Source organism: Homo sapiens, chromosome 19 (genome assembly GCF_000001405.40).
Source record: "Homo sapiens chromosome 19, GRCh38.p14 Primary Assembly".
Lineage (NCBI taxonomy): Eukaryota > Metazoa > Chordata > Mammalia > Primates > Hominidae > Homo > Homo sapiens.
In genome coordinates this window covers 48,620,305-48,637,891 of record NC_000019.10, presented here as the reverse complement: position 1 = coordinate 48,637,891, position 17,587 = coordinate 48,620,305, and the positions used below count along the sequence as shown (strand labels likewise).

Sequence of the window (17,587 nt, the reverse complement as noted above, 5' to 3'; positions counted from 1 at the left end):
AAAACCATCTTTAGGACCGCGGCCCCTTTAAGCGGCGCCCCTTTTCCCCCCATCACCCCCCTCGCCATCAGGCAGCACGAGCAGAGCCATGTGCTTCCCCCTCCCGCCTGCCTCATTGGCCCAAACTGGGTCACGGTCCCGCCCCCCAGTACCGCCTCCCATTGGGCAAATGTAGGTCAGTGTCCCGCCTCCCACCGAAAGGCAAGGCAACTTCACGCGCTGAGCCCCTCACGCGCCCTCCTGGGCCCTGGCGGACCCAGAGGCCCCATTGGCTGTGCGTCTCAAGGTGTCGGAGACGATTGGTCCGTGTTTGCAGCCGGAGGGAGGCACGCGGCTGGGTTGCATGCCCATAGAGGCTGGCGGGGCTGGACGCGCCGGGCGGGGACCCGGAGGAGGGGCGCGCGCTGTGGCGTCGGGTGTTTTGGTTTGGATTTTTTTTTCCGCGAAAGAAGTTTGCTTTGGCCACGCCTCAAGGCGGCCGCCTCCTCCTGCCCCCTCCTCCGCCCCTCCGCGCACACCTCTCGGTGCAGATTGCAAAGCGCCTTCCGTTGCGAGAGCTGCAGATTTTGCAAGAGCCAGGCTCGCCCACCTTGTAGAAGGAGCGCCTTGAGTCCCCTCTCACCCTCGGTTGCAAAGAGCCGACCGCTTGATCTGGACACCCCCTCGCCCAGATTGCATGATCTCCCGGGACCCTCTTGAGTTGCACGTTTCTGCACCGAGGACCTCAAATCCCCGTCGCTCCTAGGATTTGCAGCGTTCTGGATACTGGAGGGTTGCAGGCTACACTCGCCCGCCCCTGGGCAGACACTCGTCCAAACCACTGGAGTGTGCTGGTGACTGGCAGGCCAGCCCTTCGCCTCTCCATGAACCCGTGAGCCTGGGGGCAGGTGCCAGGCGATGGCGCGGCCTGTGAGCGACAGGACCCCGGCCCCTCTGCTGCTGGGCGGCCCGGCCGGGACACCCCCTGGCGGGGGAGCGCTGCTTGGGTTGCGGAGCCTTCTGCAGGGGACCAGCAAGCCCAAAGAGCCGGCCAGCTGTGAGTTCTAACCCCCATCTCACCCACTTCGGACACCCTACCCCCTTAGGGACTCAGGTGCCGTGGGGTGGGGTCCCATAGAAACCTGCGTGCGGGGAGTCCATCTTCCCAACCTTAATCTACTCAATTACTCAGGTGTTTAGGCCCCTAGATCCCTTAGCGCCCAGGACCCAAAAGCGCCGGCTCTGAAGCCCGTCCACCCTAAGGACCCAGGCACCAACGTCCCCAACGTCCTCCCCGCTTAGTTCACAAGAGTGTAGGCCCCAGCCTCCTCTTCCTTTTGGTCCGGGAGTCTGGACCCCTGGGGTCCCAGGGAGGGGGTGTGTCGGGTGCTCACACGGTGGTGACACGGGCTTGGGCGGGGCGTCATGGGGTCACATGGAGTCTAGGGATGAGGGATGTGCCCCAGGAATAGAGCCCCTTCCTGCCCCTTACAGATGGTGGGGGAGGGGAAGGGGGTACAGCGCGCAGGGGATGGGGGTTGGGTAATTACAGTGAAATTACAGAGCTGTCATTTTTTCTCTCACCTGCCCAACCCTCCACCTACCCTGTCCCTGCCCCCCTATTCCTGAACTTCCGTCTCTCTTTCTCTGGTTCGCTGTCTTTCTGTGTGTCTATTCCTTCCCGGCATTCTGTCCCCATCTCTGTGAATCTGTCCACCTGTCTCTGCCACCCCCGTCTCCATTCTTTCTGGGTCTCTCTCCCACTCTGCGTCTCCGTCCCTTTTTCTCCCGTCTCTCCTCTCCGACCCCCCGTCCCCTCTTTCTCTGGATCTCCGCCCTGTGCCTCTCGGACTCGGGGTCTCTTCTCCATCTCTATCTCCCCCACCTCACCCTCATCCCAACCCGTCTTTCCCGGCCCGCAGGTCTCCTGAAGGAAAAGGAGCGCAAGGCGGCCCTGCCTGCAGCCACAACCCCTGGGCCAGGCCTGGAGACTGCGGGCCCGGCGGATGCCCCGGCTGGGGCAGTGGTGGGCGGAGGGTCCCCGCGGGGGCGCCCGGGGCCGGTGCCCGCCCCGGGTCTGTTGGCGCCACTGCTGTGGGAGCGCACGCTGCCGTTCGGCGATGTGGAGTACGTAGACCTGGACGCCTTCCTGCTGGAGCACGGGCTCCCGCCCAGCCCGCCGCCCCCCGGTGGCCCGTCGCCGGAGCCGTCGCCCGCGCGGACGCCCGCACCCTCCCCAGGGCCGGGTTCGTGCGGCTCGGCTTCCCCCCGCTCCTCTCCTGGGCACGCCCCCGCCCGGGCTGCCCTCGGGACCGCCAGCGGCCACCGCGCAGGTGCGGCGAAGGGGGCGGGGCGGGTCCTGACGGGGCGGGGCTTGGACTCAGGGGGCGGGGCTGTGCGACGCTGGGGGCTGGGACCGTGGGACCTGGCTGCGGCCTCGAATTCTGTGTCCAGTTGTCGAGAGGTGTCGTGGGAGGGGGCCAGATTCGGTGTCTCTTAATGGGTCAGGGACCAATGGATCCATGGGGGAGGAGAGACTTGGAACCCTAAATTCCAGGAAGCCTGCCCAATGAGATTTTGTGGGTTTTTCTGTGGGACTTGGGGACAAACGATGTGGATACTCGTGAAGCCAGAACTGGAAGTCCGGAACACCAGAGTTATTTACTGGGGAGTGGACTGACCCCCGAATCTGGGCCCATAATCGATGGAACTGGGATAGGACTGGAGCCCCTAGGTCCTTTACAGGGGCAAAGGCAAAGGAGAGGCACAGAATTCTGTTTACCCAGGACATAAGAGACTGGCAGCCCAGGTCCCTGGGTCCCCCAGTGGGGCGTGCTGCAGCCCCGGGTCCCAGAGTTCTTCAGAAGGGAAAACGTTAGGGATGTTGTTTCTGGATCCTCCAATTGGGGCTGGGGCCAAGCTTCCTATATTCCTAGGAGAGGCCTGGGATCCCAGAATCGTGGTAGCCCAGTGGCGGGGGTTCTGGGAAGGTCCAGGAGGCCGATGCTCCCCGGAGAGCAGGGGGTTGGGAATCTTTGGAGGTTGAGTGGAACTAAGTGACTGGAAGAGCAAGAGGAAAGATGTTTCCCTTTGGGCACATTGAGGTCTCCAGGGACGGACTGCAGGTCGGGGATTCCTGGGCACACCTGCTCCAGGTCCGACCTCCGGGCCGAACCAGGGCCCTACCCTTCCCAGCGGCACATTCCTGCGCCACGTGAGTCCTCCCATCCCTCCTCCGCGCTTCGCGCAGGCGCCTTCAAGCGCGAGGGGGGCGGGGCCGGGGGAACGTGAGGGCGCCGATGGCGGGGGCCTGGGAGGAAGGGAGGAGGAGGGAAGCAGGCGTCAGCACGTGACTCGGCCCTGAACCTGTGTCCTTAGCTGGCCCCGGCTGGCTGGTGCTTAAAGGTACAGGCGCCTCCTTTCGAACCAATCTTCTGGAACCTTAGAGCAGCTTCTCCTCCTCTTTCCAGCGAGTAGCTCTTAGACTCTAACTTGAGAGCTTTTCAGTGCAGTAGATTCTTTTTCTCTGGACAGTCTGGGGTCTAAGCTTAGGTCGTGGATTCGGTAAGTAGGATTCAGGCTAGACTGTGCATCTGAAGTCCTGAGGTTTTAGAAGCAATAGCCCCATCGCTTCTCGGCCTTTTGGCTAAGATCAAGTGTAGAAGCAATAGCCCTGATTCGTGTGTTACCTAGGGCAAGTCAGTTATGACTGGGACTCAGTTTCCTTGTTTGTAAAGGTGGATATGGCTCCATGATCTCTAAGCATCTTTATGGCTTAGGGGAACCTTCATTTTTCTCGTTATTTTGGAGACGGAGTCTCGCTCTGTTGTCCGGGCTGGAGTGCAGTGGTATGATCTCAGCTCACTGCAACCTCCACCTCCAGGGTCCGGGTTCAAGCAATTCTCCAGCCTCAGCCTCCCTAGTAGCTGGGCTTACCGGCACCCGCCACTACACCTGGGCAATTTTCGTACTTTTAGTAAAGATGAGGTTTCTCCATGTTGGCCATGCTGGTCTTGAACTCCTGACTAAAGGTGATTCGCCGCCTCGGCTTCCCAAACTGCTGGGGTTACAGGCGTGAGCCACTGCGCCTGGCCAAGGGAACCTTCATATTTTATATTAGGGAGATTAATCCCTGGCCGAATTTATGCTAGATCCCAGAAGGACTTTCCATGTGGCTATGATACCACAGCAAAAAGTAGCTTCAGGAAACCCCCTCCTTAAAATACACACTCAGCTGACACGTGCTGTTTCCCCAAGGCCTGACCTCTCGGGACACACCCAGCCCTGTGGACCCAGACACCGTGGAGGTGTTGATGACCTTTGAACCCGACCCAGCTGATCTTGCCCTATCAAGCATTCCTGGCCACGAGACCTTTGACCCTCGAAGACATCGCTTCTCAGAAGAGGAACTTAAGCCCCAGCCAATCATGAAGAAGGCAAGAAAAATCCAGGTGCCGGAGGAGCAGAAGGTGAGCAGAGCTGGATGTGGGAGATAGACTTGGCTGGAGACATGCCCCACAGCCAGGGAGGGGCCTTTTCTCACAGTCAAGCCTGGGCTTCTCCTTGGGATTAGTGCTCAGCCTCTCCTGGCCTGCAGCCACAGATTAGTCCTCCTTGGCCACGGGGCACAAGGGGGCAGGGGCCTGAGGTTTATAAAGACAGTGTCAACTGGGCGAGGGGCCTCACTCGTGTAATCCCAGCATTTTAGGGGGCTGAGGCAGGAGGATCTCTTGAGCTCGGGAGTTCAAGACCAGCCTGGGCAACATGGCAAAACCCCATTTCTACAAGCCACTTGGGAGGCTGAGGTGGGAGGACTGCTTGTGCCTGGGAGATTGAGGCTGCAGTGAGCCAAGATTACACCACTGCACTCCAGCCTGGGCAACAGAGGGAGACCTTGTCTTAAAACAAAAGACAGTGTCACTGTGGGGTGCTGACTCAGCCAGCTCTGCTAGGTCTACTTGTAGAGACTTGGAGCTTCTCCTATTACTTGGGTCCAGAGCTCCACCAGGCACACTTGCAAAGGACAGTCTTCCTTTGGCAATGGGATATCAGCCTGTGGCCTGTCTCTCCTTACTCAGCAGGCCTTTGATCTCTGATGTGGGACTTCCTTTGGAGTGATTGCATTTGGCTAGGATGAAGACTGTGCCAGCCCCTTTAGGCCTTGTTTCCTGGGCCTGGACTTCTCACTGGTGGGAGACTTCAGGCTTCTGTTAGCAGCCAGTGCCACTTTCTGATTTGGGGTGATTTGAGCAGTCATTGCATCTTTGCATGATTTTGTTTTTTGCCATTACTGGAGTCTTCCCTAGCAAGAGTTGCTTGGGCTTCTGTTACAAGACTTTGTCATTCCGGGCCAGGCGCGTTGGCTCACGCCTGTAATCCTAGCACTTTAGGAGGCTGAGGTGGGCGGATCACTTGAGGTCAGGAGTTTGAGACCAGCCTGGCCAACATGGTGAAACCTCGCCTCTACTAAAAGTACAAAAATGTTCCGGGTGTGGTGTCTCACACCTGTAATCACAGCACTTTGGGAGGCCGAGGCGGACAGATCACGAGATCAGGAGACCATCCTGGCCAACATGGTGAAACCCCGTCTCTACAAAAAAATACAAAAATTAGCTGGGCATGGTGGCACTCATCTGTAGTCCCAGCTACTTGGGAGGCTAATGTAGGAAAATCGCTTGAACCCAGGAGACGGAGGTTGCAGTGAGCCGAGATCGCGCCACTGCACTCCAGCCTGGGCGACAGAGTGAGAACTCCATCTCAAAAAAAAAAAAAAAGAACAAAAATTAGCCGGACATGGTAGCGGGCACCTATAATCCCAGCTACTTGGGAGGCTGAGGCAGGAGAATCGCTTGAACCTGGGAGGTGGAGGTTGCAATGAGCCGAGATCATGCCACTGCATTCCAGCCTGAACGACAGAGCGAGACTCCATCTCAAAAACAAACAAGACTTTGCCATACCCTTGCGTAACACATAGCTACTTGAAGCACCTAGGACTGGCCTGGAAGTCAGATCTACACCAGTGGTTTCTCCTTCTAGAGGGCCCTGTTGCTAGGGACTGGATTTACCCTCACAAGCAGGAACTGGGCTTTAATTAAATAGTGGAGTAGAGAGCATCTTTCTGAGCCCCGTGGTCCTTGGTTACTAAGGAGGAGTCTTCCTTAGGAACCAACTTCCAGGATGGGAGGACTTTAGGTATAATCCTCTGGGGAGGTCTCAGGATAGTCCCCTTTCCTAAGAGACAGCTCTTCTCTCAGTCAGGTCCTACTGGGGAGGAGGCTATTCTCTGGCCTCAGTTCAAGGCCAGCAGGTCAGAGGCTGGCCACAGTCATTGAAACCACTTAGACCTCACTTTTGTTTGCCAAGGATGGATGAGGTTGCCTTGGCAACCAGGTCAGAAGGCCCCAGCTCTGCGAGGATTTTATGGGACACCAAACCCCATCACCAGGGCACCAAGCTTTCCTTAGCAACCAGGATCTGGAAAGGCAATGTGCAGGGCAGGGCAGTGCTCTTCATTGGGAGAAGCCCTCAGACCATGAAGGCCTTGTTGCTAGGGAACAAGCATCCTTAGCAAGCAAGAGCTAACTGCATGCAGGCCTTTATCATGTGGGGAGGGCTGGGGTCCGCTTTGCAGAGTGGAGACTTGAAGCGAGTTGCTTGAGGGTGGGGGGTCTATCTCATGCCTTTACTGTTGCTAGGGGCCCAATCTCCTTAGCAACCAGGGCCCTAGAAAGGCAGACCCTTGGGTACCTATCCCAGCAGAGACCTGGTGTGGTTTAGGCCCCGCTGCTGGGGCTCCCTTCCTCTCTCGCTGGGACCTGGGTCCCTCTGGACCTCAGTGCTCTCCCCCTCTTCTCCTGCAGGATGAGAAATACTGGAGCCGGCGGTACAAGAACAACGAGGCAGCCAAGCGGTCCCGTGACGCCCGGCGGCTCAAGGAGAACCAGATATCGGTGCGGGCGGCCTTCCTGGAGAAGGAGAACGCCCTGCTGCGGCAGGAAGTTGTGGCCGTGCGCCAGGAGCTGTCCCACTACCGCGCCGTGCTGTCCCGATACCAGGCCCAGCACGGGGCCCTGTGAGGCTGCCCCACATCCCCACCTGGCGGAGCTCTCCTCCGCCTTGCTGAGACTTACGCCCTGTTCCCTTCCTGCCCTGTGGCCCACGGGCCGGCCAGCTGGGTGCCCCAGGGACGTGATAATGCAGATAAATACATTTATATTTTTAAGAAAAAGCGAGCCTCCCCCCTCCCTTGCGGGGGCGGGGAGGGTTCTCTGTGTGTGTCCCCGGCACGTCAGGGACCCTATCCTCCCACCGCCTCCGTTAACACGATCCTGAATAAATCTTGAGAACCCCAGAGCCAGCTGTTGTGGAAGAAGAGGGCAGCTCCCTGGCATACTGGCTGCAGCCCGTGGGCAGCTCCGGGCTGTCGTCCATAGAGGGCAGGCGCTGCTGGAAGTGCTGGAGTCTGAGTCCTCCCGCGGGCTGTCGGATGGAGGAAGGGCAGAAGGTCTGAGAGGAATGAAGCGACTGCCTTTATTGCATAGACCTTTTCAATTGCTTTTTAGATTGGGGACGGAGGACGCGCATGAGACGAACAGGGGATATGAATTTCCCCGCCCCCACCCGCGGGGAGAGGAACATTAGTGCAAATCCTAGCGCCGGCCCCGGGGAACCTGCCCCTCCTGGGCTGATTGGCCAGCTAAATGGAGGCACCGGAGTGGATGGGGCGAGGCTGCGGGCCCTGACCGGCCGACTCACTGAGGCCTACCCCAGCCAGTACATTCCAGGTCCTGTCATTGGGCGACGCGTAAAATAGACTCCGCCCTCAGCCATCCTGGCCGGGTAGGAGCAGGTGGCAAGCGTCAGGACTGAGCCCTGCCCCGTAAGGGCGGCCCCAGATCAGACGCCAGGCCCCGCCCTCATTGATCAGGCACTACCCTCGGGACGAGCCCATTTCTCTTTAACCGTGACGACGCCCACCTTCCAGCATCACGTCTGGTCCCATGAAAGCGAGCGCAATCCTGAGACGGGGCCAGGGCCCCTGCCACCACAACTCTAGCAGCCAGGCCACACCCCCTAGCTCAGGCTCCGCCCCATTGGAATGTAGGCCCCGCCCCCGGCGGGTACCAAGCTTGTTTAGTTTCAGGGCTCCCGCCCCGGGCAGCCAGGAGGCCCAGTGAGCAGTGTACCGATGCCAGGGTGCATCTGTGCCTGTAGCGGCCCATACTCCACCTGCTCCCCGTCCACTGTGAGCACGCCGCGTGGTGTGAGCGGCTCTAGGCGGAAGGCACGGGCCGCGGCGTAGCCCAGCTGCGGACAGCCCAGGCTGAAGTGGCTACCACGCTCCATGGCCAAGAAAAGGCGCAGCAGCGCAGCCCGCGAGATGCCGCTACGCACCCAGCACAGGTGCACCAGGCCGTCGTCGAAGCGCGCATGCGGAGCTGCCACCAGGTCAGCGCCTAGGTGGCTGGGCGAGATGGCCAACATGAGCACAAAGTCCCCCTCCAGCGTCACCCAGTCTGGGGGCAGCGGGGTGCCCAGCGGAGGCAGCAGGTGGTCGGGCGGGCCGCAGGTGGAGGCCCCTACCCGGGCATCAGGGGTGGGAAGTGGGAGCCCAGAGGATGGGGGAATTACGGGGGCCCCTTCGGAGACGGGTGAGTGTAGAGCTGCCTTGGGAGAGCCAGGAGGTGAAGACAGCAGTGGGTCCGGGGACAGCGGAGCATCCCCAGCCCCACCCCAGTCCCCAGCCAGCTCTGGGCCCCCACCGTTGAGGGACAGGATGGGCAGGGGTTCTGGCGAGCCAGGAGAGGCCAGGGCAGGCTGGGGCAGGGGAAGAGGCAGGTCAGACACAGAACGATGCAGGGGTGAGTGGGCCATGGGCGGGGCTGGGTCTGGGGTTAGGGTCAGCTCCGACTTGGCACGAGGCAGGCTATGGGCAGGGGTGGGCGAGGCAGGTTCCACAGTGGCGGGGAGGTAGGAGAGGCGTCCGCGGTAGGTGTGCAGTGTGGCGAGGCCCAGCACCGTGCCCAGTGTGAAGCGGGCACTGCCCAAGGCCCTGAAGCGCTCGCTCTGGATATCCACATCTGACACGAAGCCCCAGGCCACAGACAGGAAGGAGAAACAGCGGGAGCCCGAGGCCAGCGTCACGGAGAGCAGGTCCAGTGGGTGGCCACCACCCCGGCACAGCAACAGTGAGCAGTTGAGCAACAGGTCGAGGCCCAGGGCTGGCTCAAATCTTCACAGCCGGAGATGGACGGACACACAGAAGGAAGGAGCAAACAGGGGTTGGGGAAAGAGACAGGTAGGAAAGCAGCTGGCAATGAGACCACGAAGGCCATGGCCCAGGCCCACCACAGCCGTGGGGCCACCTCCAGGCGACTCCTTACGGGGCCAGGTTCCTGGTCATCTTTCATTTGCTCCCTACAATTCACTGAGTGCCTCCCATGCCAGGCAGAGTTCTGGGCGCTCGGGATACAGCTGGGAAGCAGGCAGGCAAAAATGTCCAGGAGCTGGGGGTGAGCATCCCACAGGCAGGCTGATTTACTTGACTGACTGTGGGTTTGGCTGAGTGGGAGATATAGGGGTCCCTATCACCCCAGGAGGGGCTCATCCCTCCCTTCGTGGTATCCTCAACCTACCCCCCGTGCTGGTTCACTGCTCCGGCCAGCGCGTTGCCCGAGCCGCAGGGGAGGATGCCCACAGGCATCTTCACAGCTTCCTCCCAGTCAGGGCGATCTAGGAGCCCGTTCAGCACCTGGAGGGTGGGAGACCAGAAGCCTGGGTCCTGGTGGCAGTCTCTATAGTCCCCCAGGGCCCAGGGCTAGGGGCAGGGTGCTCCTGCTCTACCTCATGGAGCAGCCCGTCTCCCGAGACCGTGACGATGCCATCCCACTCACTCAGGCTCAGCCCCTGGACCAGCTCCCGGGCGTGGTTCTGTCGTTCTGAAGTGGGATACCGGGCTGTTAGGCAGGCTGTCCCACCCCAGCCCCATAGACCCAGGAGTCCCACCCACCACTTTGCTCCCTTAGGACTCAGCTGTCCCAGCCCCCAGCTCCCATTCTCACTGGCCCTTACCTGTCTGGATGAGGTTGAAGGACAGCCCAGCTTCAGAGATCATGGGAAGCACGTGGTTCTTACACCACTGCCAGGCCAGGCCCCGACCCCCAAAGGGATTGACCAATAGAAGCAACCGGGGCGGCCGAGGTAGCAGGTCAGGGGTGATCTCTGTGGAGAGAGGTTAGGGTCTGCAGAGGCCAGTGACCCAGGCCCCCCACCTTGGAAACAGTCCCTTCATCAGCCCCCAACGGAATTGGTGGAGGGCTGGCCCCTGGGACCTGCTGGCTCTCATGTGGCCAGGCCTAGGTATGCAGCCCTGCCCCAACTCCTAGCTGCTGAGACAAAGGCAGGGCTTAGGTGTGAAACCAAATGCCCTTTGTCCCCATGTGTGGGAGGAGCTGTAGTTCAGAGCTGTGGTTCCCACTTTCCTCACCCCAAACACCTATTACCCAGGATTAGGTTACTTCCAGCCCTTAGGGGCCCCAGGCAGGATTAGATGCCACCTCTGAACTCCAGGGAAGCCCTAGACCTCTGTTGGCACCCATCACTCTGGGTGGTACCTGGTCCTGTCTCAGGCTGCTGCTCTCACCACCCTGGGTGACTCACCTGTGGTCAAGACCCATGCAAAGGGGAAGAGGATAGGAGACAGAAACATAAATCTAGCAAGAGAACAGCAGATGTAAATCACTTTTCTCTGCCTGCGTTTTTGTTTTGTTTTGCTTTTTGTGATGGAGTATCGGTCTTGTCGCCCAGGATGGAGTGCAATGGTGCAATCTCGGCTCACTGCAGCCTCTGCCTCCCGGGTTCAAGTGATTCTCCTGCCTCAGCCTCCCGAGTAGCTGGAATTACAGGCATCCGTCACCATGCCCGGCTAATTTTTGTATTTTTAATAGAGACAGGGTTTCGCCATGTTGGCCAGGCTGGTCTCGAACTCCCGACCTCAGGTGATCTGCCTGCCTTGGCTTCCCAAAGTGCTGGGATTATAGGCATGAGCCACTGCACGCGACCTCTGCCTGTGCTTTTTTTTTTTTTTTTTTTTTTTTTGGAGACAGAGTTTTGCTCTTGTTGCCCAAGCTGGAGTGCAATGGCACGATCTCAGCTCACTGCAACCTCTGCCTCCTGGGTTCAAGCGATTCTCCTGCCTCACCCTCCTGTAGCTGGGATTACAGGTGCGCAGCACCACACCCGGCTAATTTTTTGTATTTTTAGTAGACATGGGGTTTCACCATGTTAGCCAGGCTGGTCTCGAACTCCTGACCTCAGGTGATCCACCCGCCTCAGCCTCCCAAATTGCTAGGATTACAGACATGAGCCACCACATCCGGTCCTCTTGTCTTTTTGTTCCTTCTGTAGCCCATCCCTGTGTATCACTCCTAACGGATCCAGAGAGATACATCACCCAGACACACAGAAAAATAAAGACACAGCTGCCTATGGAGGAAATTCTGCAGAGACACCAAGGTGGCTCCAGGATAGAGCAGCTGCCCAGCACCTCACCCCCATCCCCGGGCAGTGGCAGTCCTCGGAGCAGACAGGTGAGGGCAGTGGCCCAGCGCTGGGCCTCGGCACGGTTCTCTTCGTAGGTGGCGGCCCCATCTGCCCGGAAGGTGCGAGTGGCTCTGCGCCGGGCCCCGCGCCGGCCCCGAGGGTAGGTGTAGATGCAGAAGTAGGCCGCTGAGTCTGAGGGGCTGCGGCTTCGCAGGGTGCAGCAGCCTGAGACCTCGGCCAACGGGACCAGGCCACCCCGGGGCCTGGCTTCAGGTTTGGGGCGCAGCCGCTGTATGTGCAGGGCCTGCGATGTAAGGGTGAGGGCAAAGCGTGGGCCTCGGGCTGGGTAGGAGCCAAACTCGCCATGGAGGAGCGGGGTGCTGGCAGCCAGTGGCGGTGGGGGCGGGGCCATGGCCTTAGCCCTGACCAGGGTGCTCCTAGGCCCGTGGCCCCAGCTCCCGGTCAGCTCCTGGTCTGGCCTCTGTGGGAAGGGAGGAGAGAAGGGGTGAGAATTCAGGACCCCATGGCAGGGGCAGGGAGGGGCAGGGGCTGTGGACAGGAGGAGACAATGAGGGGCAGTGGCAGGTGAGACAGGAGCATCAGAGACAGACAGGCTCAGACAGGTGTGGGCAGACCTTGAGGATGCGGGACAGAGGCCAGCATCCCAGAGGGGGCCGGAGACCCGGGCATGCAAACATCCAATCATTTATTCCCCAGTAAGTATTCAGTACCCTTTATGTGCCAATCACGGTGCTAGGCCTAGCAAACACAGCAGGAGACAAAATAGCCCCAAATCCTTGCCTTCATAGGAATAGATAAACAAGAGAAAGGATTGAAATATACAGGTGGTTGGGTGATGATAACGGGCTTTGGGGGAAAAGAAGGCACAGGAAGGGGAATGGATAGTGGGATTGGATATGCAGAAACAGACATGCAAAGACTGAAAGACACACCTCCCCGACACCCCCACCCCCCATACGGTGCAGTGGGTAAAACAGCAAAACAATCACAAACGCAATAGAGATAGGGTCTGAGAGCCAGAGAAACACTGAGAGGAGACAAACAGGGTCAATGAGGTGAAACTCAGGCGATGAAAGATACTTAAGAGAGTAAGACTTTTTCACCCCAACGAGAAAGGCAAGACAGAGTGGAAGGGAGAGCAAATAGGAGGGGTACGAGGCAGGCATGGAGACAGCTGGAGAGAAGGGATATGACAGGGACTACGGGGTCCGAGAGGAGCCACATGCGAGCGCCTGCAAGGGGCAGGGGCCAAGAGCTGGTCCCTGAGCACTGACCTGGGTGTCTGGCCGCCTGCTCTCCAGGGAGCGGGTGGGAGCAGGACTGAGGTCCCTTCCCCACAGGCCCTCTCCCTGCCCTCTGCCCGGATTCTGCCTCCTCCTTTCGCTCACCTTTGTTCCCCACTGCCCCGCCCAGCCACCTGCCAGTCCTGCCCCTCACATTCCCCAGGCCCAGAGCGCCAGGACAGCCCCCCACCCCCCACCGCCTGTGGACTCACCCTTAGGAACTACATCTGCCCCCCTATCCCCAGCGGCTCTCTCGGGTCCAGGACGTCTGCTTCACCCCCAAACCTGCCCTGGCCCCATTATGGGAACCTCAAATCAGGTTCAAGCACAGAGCCCTAGATGTCCTCCAGTCTTGGGCCTGGGTCTCTGTCCCTGGGTCCCCGAGACCTGGACCTGGGTCTCCATCCATTGGTCCCCAATCCATAGGCCTGCGTGTCTGGCCCTGGGCCCCCAAACCGCCATCCGCACTCTTATTTCCAGAACCCAGTCCCAGGCCTGGCTGGGTTCAGTCCTGGCCCAGGTTTTCCATTTCCATCTCCCACCCCGGTGCCCCAGTCCCGGGCCTGAGTCTCTGTTCCTCTTGGTCCCTCAGTCCCCTAGACTCCGGTCCCTGCCCCGACCCCCGCACCCTCCTCACACGCCGGGTCCTCCTCCAGGCGGTCCCGCAAGTCAGCACCAACAGCCCCCATCAGACCTAGGGGTGGGGGGAGGGTGTGCATCCGCTCAGCCAATGGCCGTGCAGCCGGCCTGGGCCGCACCAATACGAGGGCGCGGGGGGTGGAGCCAGTCAGCTCGCGAGCTTGGTGCAGGGACCGGCCGCGGGAGAGGCCGAGAGCTGGGCGGGGCCTCGCGCTTCGGGAGACTGGCCGCCATCGTGGGTGAGGGCCGACGCGCAGCGGAGACGACGTCGCGGCCCCATAGACAGCGCCGTTGTCGCCATCTTTGTTAAGGGAGAGTGGGCCTGTCTCATCCATTGAATTCACAAAAGAAAAGGGGCGTGAGGGAGGAGGTCTTTAGCTGCAAAGACAGAGACTCTAACACGCGTAACAAAGGCCCAGAGATCCGATCCAGACACAGAGCAAGGCAGAGACCCACAGAGGTTGGATGAGGCAATAAGAGAGCTGGGAGGAGAGGGAGAGTGGGGAAAGTGAAGGATACTTTTTTTTCGGACAGTTACAGAGTCAGAGAGACCCAGAGAAAAGCAGAGATATAAACAAGAGACCAAAACAGTGGGATTGAGAATGTGCAAGGTAAGGATACAAGAAAACCCTGAAAATGACAGACACGGAGACAGATGGAGACAGACACTTCTGGAATGGAAGCCGCGAAGGAGAGGCTCATTAATTCAGACTTATTTATCTCAGGCTCAAACCAGAATGGAAGCGGCATGAGATAAACATCTGCCCAGTGAATGAACCAGTCACATGGCAAGACAGAGACAGAGAGATGGGGACAGTATCTCTAGGTCAAAGGTGAGGGAGGGAGAGAATATTGGAAGCCCAGGGGCTGGGAGGAACTGGGACAGAAAGTGAAGATGTTGACAGATGCACCGAGGCAAAGACATGGTGAAATTGAAAGAAAGGCAAGTATATATTAGGAGACTTAGAAACAGAATTGCATAGAGAGAAAGAGATATGCATTAGGAGACAAGGACAGAGCTCACTAGAAAGTGACAAATGTAGGCTGTAGGCCAGGCGTGGTGGCTTACGCCTGTAATCCCAGCACTCTGGGAGGCCGAGGCGGGTGGATCGCCAGGTCAGGAGTCCGAGACCAGCCTGACCAACATGGAGAAACCCCCGTCTCTCTCTCTTTTTTTTTTTTTTTTTTTGAGATGGAGTCTGGCTCTGTCACCCAGGCTGGAGTGCAGCGGCACGATCTAGGCTCACTGAACCGCCTGCCTGGTTCAAGCGATTCTCCTGCCTCAGCCTCCTGAGTAGCTGGGACTAGAGGCACGTGCCACCACGTCCGGCTAATTTTTTACATTTTTAGTAGAGACAGGGTTTCACCGTGTTAGCCAGGATAGTCTGGATCTCCTGACCTCGTGATCCATCCGCCTCAGCCTCCCAAAGTGCTGGGATTACAGGCGTGAGCCACCTCACTGGTCCAAAACCCCCATCTCTACTAAAAATACAAAAATTAGCCAGGTGTGGTAGCACGCACCTGTAATCCCAGCTACTCAGGAGGCTGAGGCAGGAGATCGCTTGAACCCAAGAGGCGGAGGTTACAGTGAGCCGAGATGATGCCACTGCACTCCAGCCTGGGCAACAGACCAAGACTCTGTCTCAAAAAAAAAAAAAAAAAAAAAAAAAAGAGAGACAAATGTAGGAAGAAGTTTGCTTATTGCCAAATCATGTACCTAGCATCCAACCCACAGTAGCAACAGCACCAGATAGTATGTGCCAAGGAATGACACGGAGAGAAGGGGGAACAGAAACCCAGTAAGACTGAGACTGGGGCACAGCAACTGAGCTTGGGGCCCTGGGAGAAGGAAAGGCAGAGACACTGGGCAAAGAAGCTGAGATTCAAACATAGAGCCTAAGTCACACAGACGAGAGGACAGGGAGGAGGAAAAGGAGAAAGGACCCTGCAGCTCACACACACTTGCTGTGTGACTGCTGGGAAGCCCCTGAATTCTTGGCCTCAGCTGTCCTGTCTGGGAAGTAGGGAGAAAGCTATTCACACTGAAACAGGAATTAAAAGAAATTAAAGAATGTGTAAGCAAAAACTCAGTTGTATGTAAAAAACCCAATTCCCCCTGAGGAAGAGAAAGAGATTGAGTCCTTTATTTTTTTTTATTTTTTTTTTTTTTGAGACGGAGTTTCGCTCTGTCGCCCAGGCTGGAGTGCAGTGGCGCGATCTCGACTCACTGCAAGCTCCGCCTCCCGGGTTCACGCCATTCTCCTGCCTCAGCCTCCCGTGTGTAGCTGGGACTACAGGCGCGCGCCACCATGCCCGGCTAATTTTTTTTGTATTTTTAGTAGAGACGGGGTTTCACCGTGTTAGCCAGGATGGTCTCGATCTCCTGACCTCGTGATCCGCCCATCTCGGCCTCCCAAAGTGCTGGGATTACAGGCGTGAGCCACTGCGCCCGGCCCGAGATTGAGTCCTTTAAAAATTAACTGCCTGTTTTTCTGTTTGTGGCTAGTGAGCCTTATCTAACTCCCTTTCCCAGGCATCGTGAAGACCCTGTTTCTCTAACTGTGCAGCTGCAAGGTCACTAGACAGGATAAACTCAAGTCCTAAAACATGTTTTTCCTTGAAAAGTAAGAAATAATGTAATGCATGTCTCAATTGAATAACTGTCTTTGTTTCTCGCTGCTATAATATGCTTCCCCCTGCACAGATCTCCCCCTACCCCACGAAATACTTAAAATGTAACTTGACTCTTTGTTCGGTGCTCAGTCTTTTTCGATGTTAATCTGACTGGGCCAGTGCACCTAAATAATAAATAATAAGTATCCTCCTCAACCCCTCAGTTTCTCTGATTCCTAAATTATCCCACTGGAACACCTGCCTGGAGAGAAGGTCTGAAATCACTTATGGAAGGGCTCCCAGGCTGGGCGCGGTGGCTCATGCCTGTAAGCTCAACACTTTGAGAGACTGAGGTGGGAGAATCCCTTGAGCTCAGGAGTTCAAGACCAGCCTGGGCAACAGAGGGAGACCTAGTCTCTAGAAAAAATAAAAAAATTGGCCGGGTGCAGTGGCTCATGCCTGTAATCCCAGCACTTTGGGAGGCCGAGGCCGGCGTATCACCTGAGGTCGGGAGTTTGAGACCAGCCTGACCAACATGGAGAAACCTCATCTCTATGAAAAATACAAAAGTAGCTGGGTGTGGTGGCGCATGCCTGTAATCCCAGCTACTTGGGAGGTTGAGGCAGGAGAACTGCTTGAACCCGGGAGGCGGAGGTTGCAGTGAGCCAAGATCGTGCCATTGCACTCCAGCCTGGGCAACAAGAGCGAAACTCCACCTCAAAATAAATAAATAAATAAAAATAAAAAAATTAGCCAGCCATGGTGGAGGCTACTTGGGAAGCTGAGGTGGGAAGATCACTTTAGCCCAGGAGGTTGCAGCTGCAGTAGGCTGTGATTGTGCCACTGCTTTCCAGCCTGGGCAAGAGTGAGACCCTGTTTTTTCTTTTTTTTTTTTGAGACGGAGTCTCACTCTGTCACCCAGGCTGGAGTGCAGCGCGATCTCGGCTCACTGCAACCTCTGCCTCCCGGGTTCAAATGATTCTCCTGCCTCAGTCTCCCGAGTAGCTGGGATTACAGGTGCGCATCACCATGCCTGGCTAATTTTTGTATTTTTAGTAGAGATGGGGTTTCACCATGTTGGCCAGGCTGATCTCGAACTCCTGGCCTCAGGTGATCCGCAGGCCTTGGCCTCCCAGAGTGCTGGGATTACAAGCTTGAGCTACCACGCCTGGCCTCCAATTTTTTTTTTTTTTTTTTAAAGAAAAGCTTCAGATTTTGTCTTTCCACAGTATGAGGATCTTGGCTTTTAGATGGTCCCTTACCTGGTCCTGCTGCTCCTCTGCTTCAAGGTGTCCATTCATCTGCTGGTCCTCTGCTCTGTTACATCAACGGGACCCTGGCCCTGGGTCTTAAGCCATAGTAGGCTGGTAGGAGCAAGGAGTCAGGTCTCACTGTCCTGGCCTGACCTTCAGCTCTGTGGAGGAGAGGTAAGTGAGGAGCAGCATTGACAGCCAACTGCAGGAGGCCCTTCCAGGCTCAATGTGCCTGAGAACCAAGAGGCAGGGGCCTCC

General features: G+C 57.8%; 2 protein-coding genes across 6 annotated transcripts in view, besides 9 other annotated features; one reads left to right on the top strand and one right to left on the bottom strand.

Annotated features, from left to right (window-relative positions):
* Positions 76-295: a silencer, noted in NCBI's record as "silent region_10895". NCBI's record gives its function as "represses an Ori minimal core promoter by ATAC-STARR-seq in GM12878 lymphoblastoid cells {active_cell/tissue: GM12878}" and the evidence as "EXISTENCE:reporter gene assay evidence [ECO:0000049][PMID:35858748]".
* Positions 466-575: a silencer, noted in NCBI's record as "silent region_10894". NCBI's record gives its function as "represses an Ori minimal core promoter by ATAC-STARR-seq in GM12878 lymphoblastoid cells {active_cell/tissue: GM12878}" and the evidence as "EXISTENCE:reporter gene assay evidence [ECO:0000049][PMID:35858748]".
* On the top strand, positions 513-7,862 carry DBP (D-box binding PAR bZIP transcription factor). The gene is made up of 4 exons (NM_001352.5): positions 513-1,036; positions 1,902-2,312; positions 4,237-4,448; positions 6,840-7,862. Exons 1-4 carry the CDS (start codon positions 898-900, stop codon positions 7,053-7,055), a joined length of 978 nt encoding a protein of 325 aa, NP_001343.2. The 5' UTR covers positions 513-897; the 3' UTR covers positions 7,056-7,862.
* Positions 806-925: a silencer, noted in NCBI's record as "silent region_10893". NCBI's record gives its function as "represses an Ori minimal core promoter by ATAC-STARR-seq in GM12878 lymphoblastoid cells {active_cell/tissue: GM12878}" and the evidence as "EXISTENCE:reporter gene assay evidence [ECO:0000049][PMID:35858748]".
* Positions 1,962-2,021: a silencer, noted in NCBI's record as "silent region_10892". NCBI's record gives its function as "represses an Ori minimal core promoter by ATAC-STARR-seq in GM12878 lymphoblastoid cells {active_cell/tissue: GM12878}" and the evidence as "EXISTENCE:reporter gene assay evidence [ECO:0000049][PMID:35858748]".
* Positions 2,142-2,451: a silencer, noted in NCBI's record as "silent region_10891". NCBI's record gives its function as "represses an Ori minimal core promoter by ATAC-STARR-seq in GM12878 lymphoblastoid cells {active_cell/tissue: GM12878}" and the evidence as "EXISTENCE:reporter gene assay evidence [ECO:0000049][PMID:35858748]".
* Positions 3,162-3,341: a silencer, noted in NCBI's record as "silent region_10890". NCBI's record gives its function as "represses an Ori minimal core promoter by ATAC-STARR-seq in GM12878 lymphoblastoid cells {active_cell/tissue: GM12878}" and the evidence as "EXISTENCE:reporter gene assay evidence [ECO:0000049][PMID:35858748]".
* SPHK2 (sphingosine kinase 2) overlaps positions 7,487-17,587 on the bottom strand; it is a 10,900-nt gene continuing 799 nt past the window's right edge. For 2 of the 5 annotated variants that reach the window (NM_001204159.3, NM_020126.5), the window contains exons 2-7: positions 17,339-17,490; positions 11,530-12,001; positions 10,051-10,200; positions 9,823-9,917; positions 9,615-9,730; positions 7,487-9,211 (exon numbers count right to left, since the gene is read on the bottom strand). In NM_001204159.3, the coding sequence (NP_001191088.1) occupies positions 8,119-9,211; positions 9,615-9,730; positions 9,823-9,917; positions 10,051-10,200; positions 11,530-12,001; positions 17,339-17,377 (1,965 nt within the window). In that variant the 5' untranslated portion in view covers positions 17,378-17,490 and the 3' untranslated portion in view covers positions 7,487-8,118. Of the gene's footprint in view, positions 9,212-9,614; positions 9,731-9,822; positions 9,918-10,050; positions 10,201-11,529; positions 12,002-12,815; positions 12,864-17,338; positions 17,491-17,587 lie in introns of those variants that run through there. The other 3 variants (NM_001204158.3, NM_001204160.3, NM_001243876.2) reach the window with 3 other exon arrangements.
* Positions 9,706-10,206: an enhancer, noted in NCBI's record as "H3K4me1 hESC enhancer chr19:49130943-49131443 (GRCh37/hg19 assembly coordinates)". NCBI's record gives its function as "activates a minimal SCP1, AML or CMV promoter by ChIP-STARR-seq in naive H9 embryonic stem cells {active_cell/tissue: H9 hESC(naive)}" and the evidence as "EXISTENCE:reporter gene assay evidence [ECO:0000049][PMID:30033119]".
* Positions 10,266-10,560: a silencer, noted in NCBI's record as "tiled region #2382; K562 Repressive non-DNase unmatched - State 18:Pol2". NCBI's record gives its function as "represses a minimal TATA promoter and a strong SV40 promoter by Sharpr-MPRA in K562 cells {active_cell/tissue: K562}" and the evidence as "EXISTENCE:reporter gene assay evidence [ECO:0000049][PMID:27701403]".
* Positions 13,489-13,728: a silencer, noted in NCBI's record as "silent region_10889". NCBI's record gives its function as "represses an Ori minimal core promoter by ATAC-STARR-seq in GM12878 lymphoblastoid cells {active_cell/tissue: GM12878}" and the evidence as "EXISTENCE:reporter gene assay evidence [ECO:0000049][PMID:35858748]".

Bases quoted from the DNA above. Each gene is read 5' to 3' on its own strand.
- DBP (NM_001352.5), top strand. From the start codon at position 898: ATGGCGCGGCCTGTGAGCGACAGGACCCCGGCCCCTCTGCTGCTGGGC. The intron at 1,037-1,901 runs GTGAGTTCTAAC...CCCGGCCCGCAG, and splicing joins GCCCAAAGAGCCGGCCAGCT to GTCTCCTGAAGGAAAAGGAG. The intron at 2,313-4,236 runs GTGCGGCGAAGG...TGTTTCCCCAAG, and splicing joins CGCCAGCGGCCACCGCGCAG to GCCTGACCTCTCGGGACACA.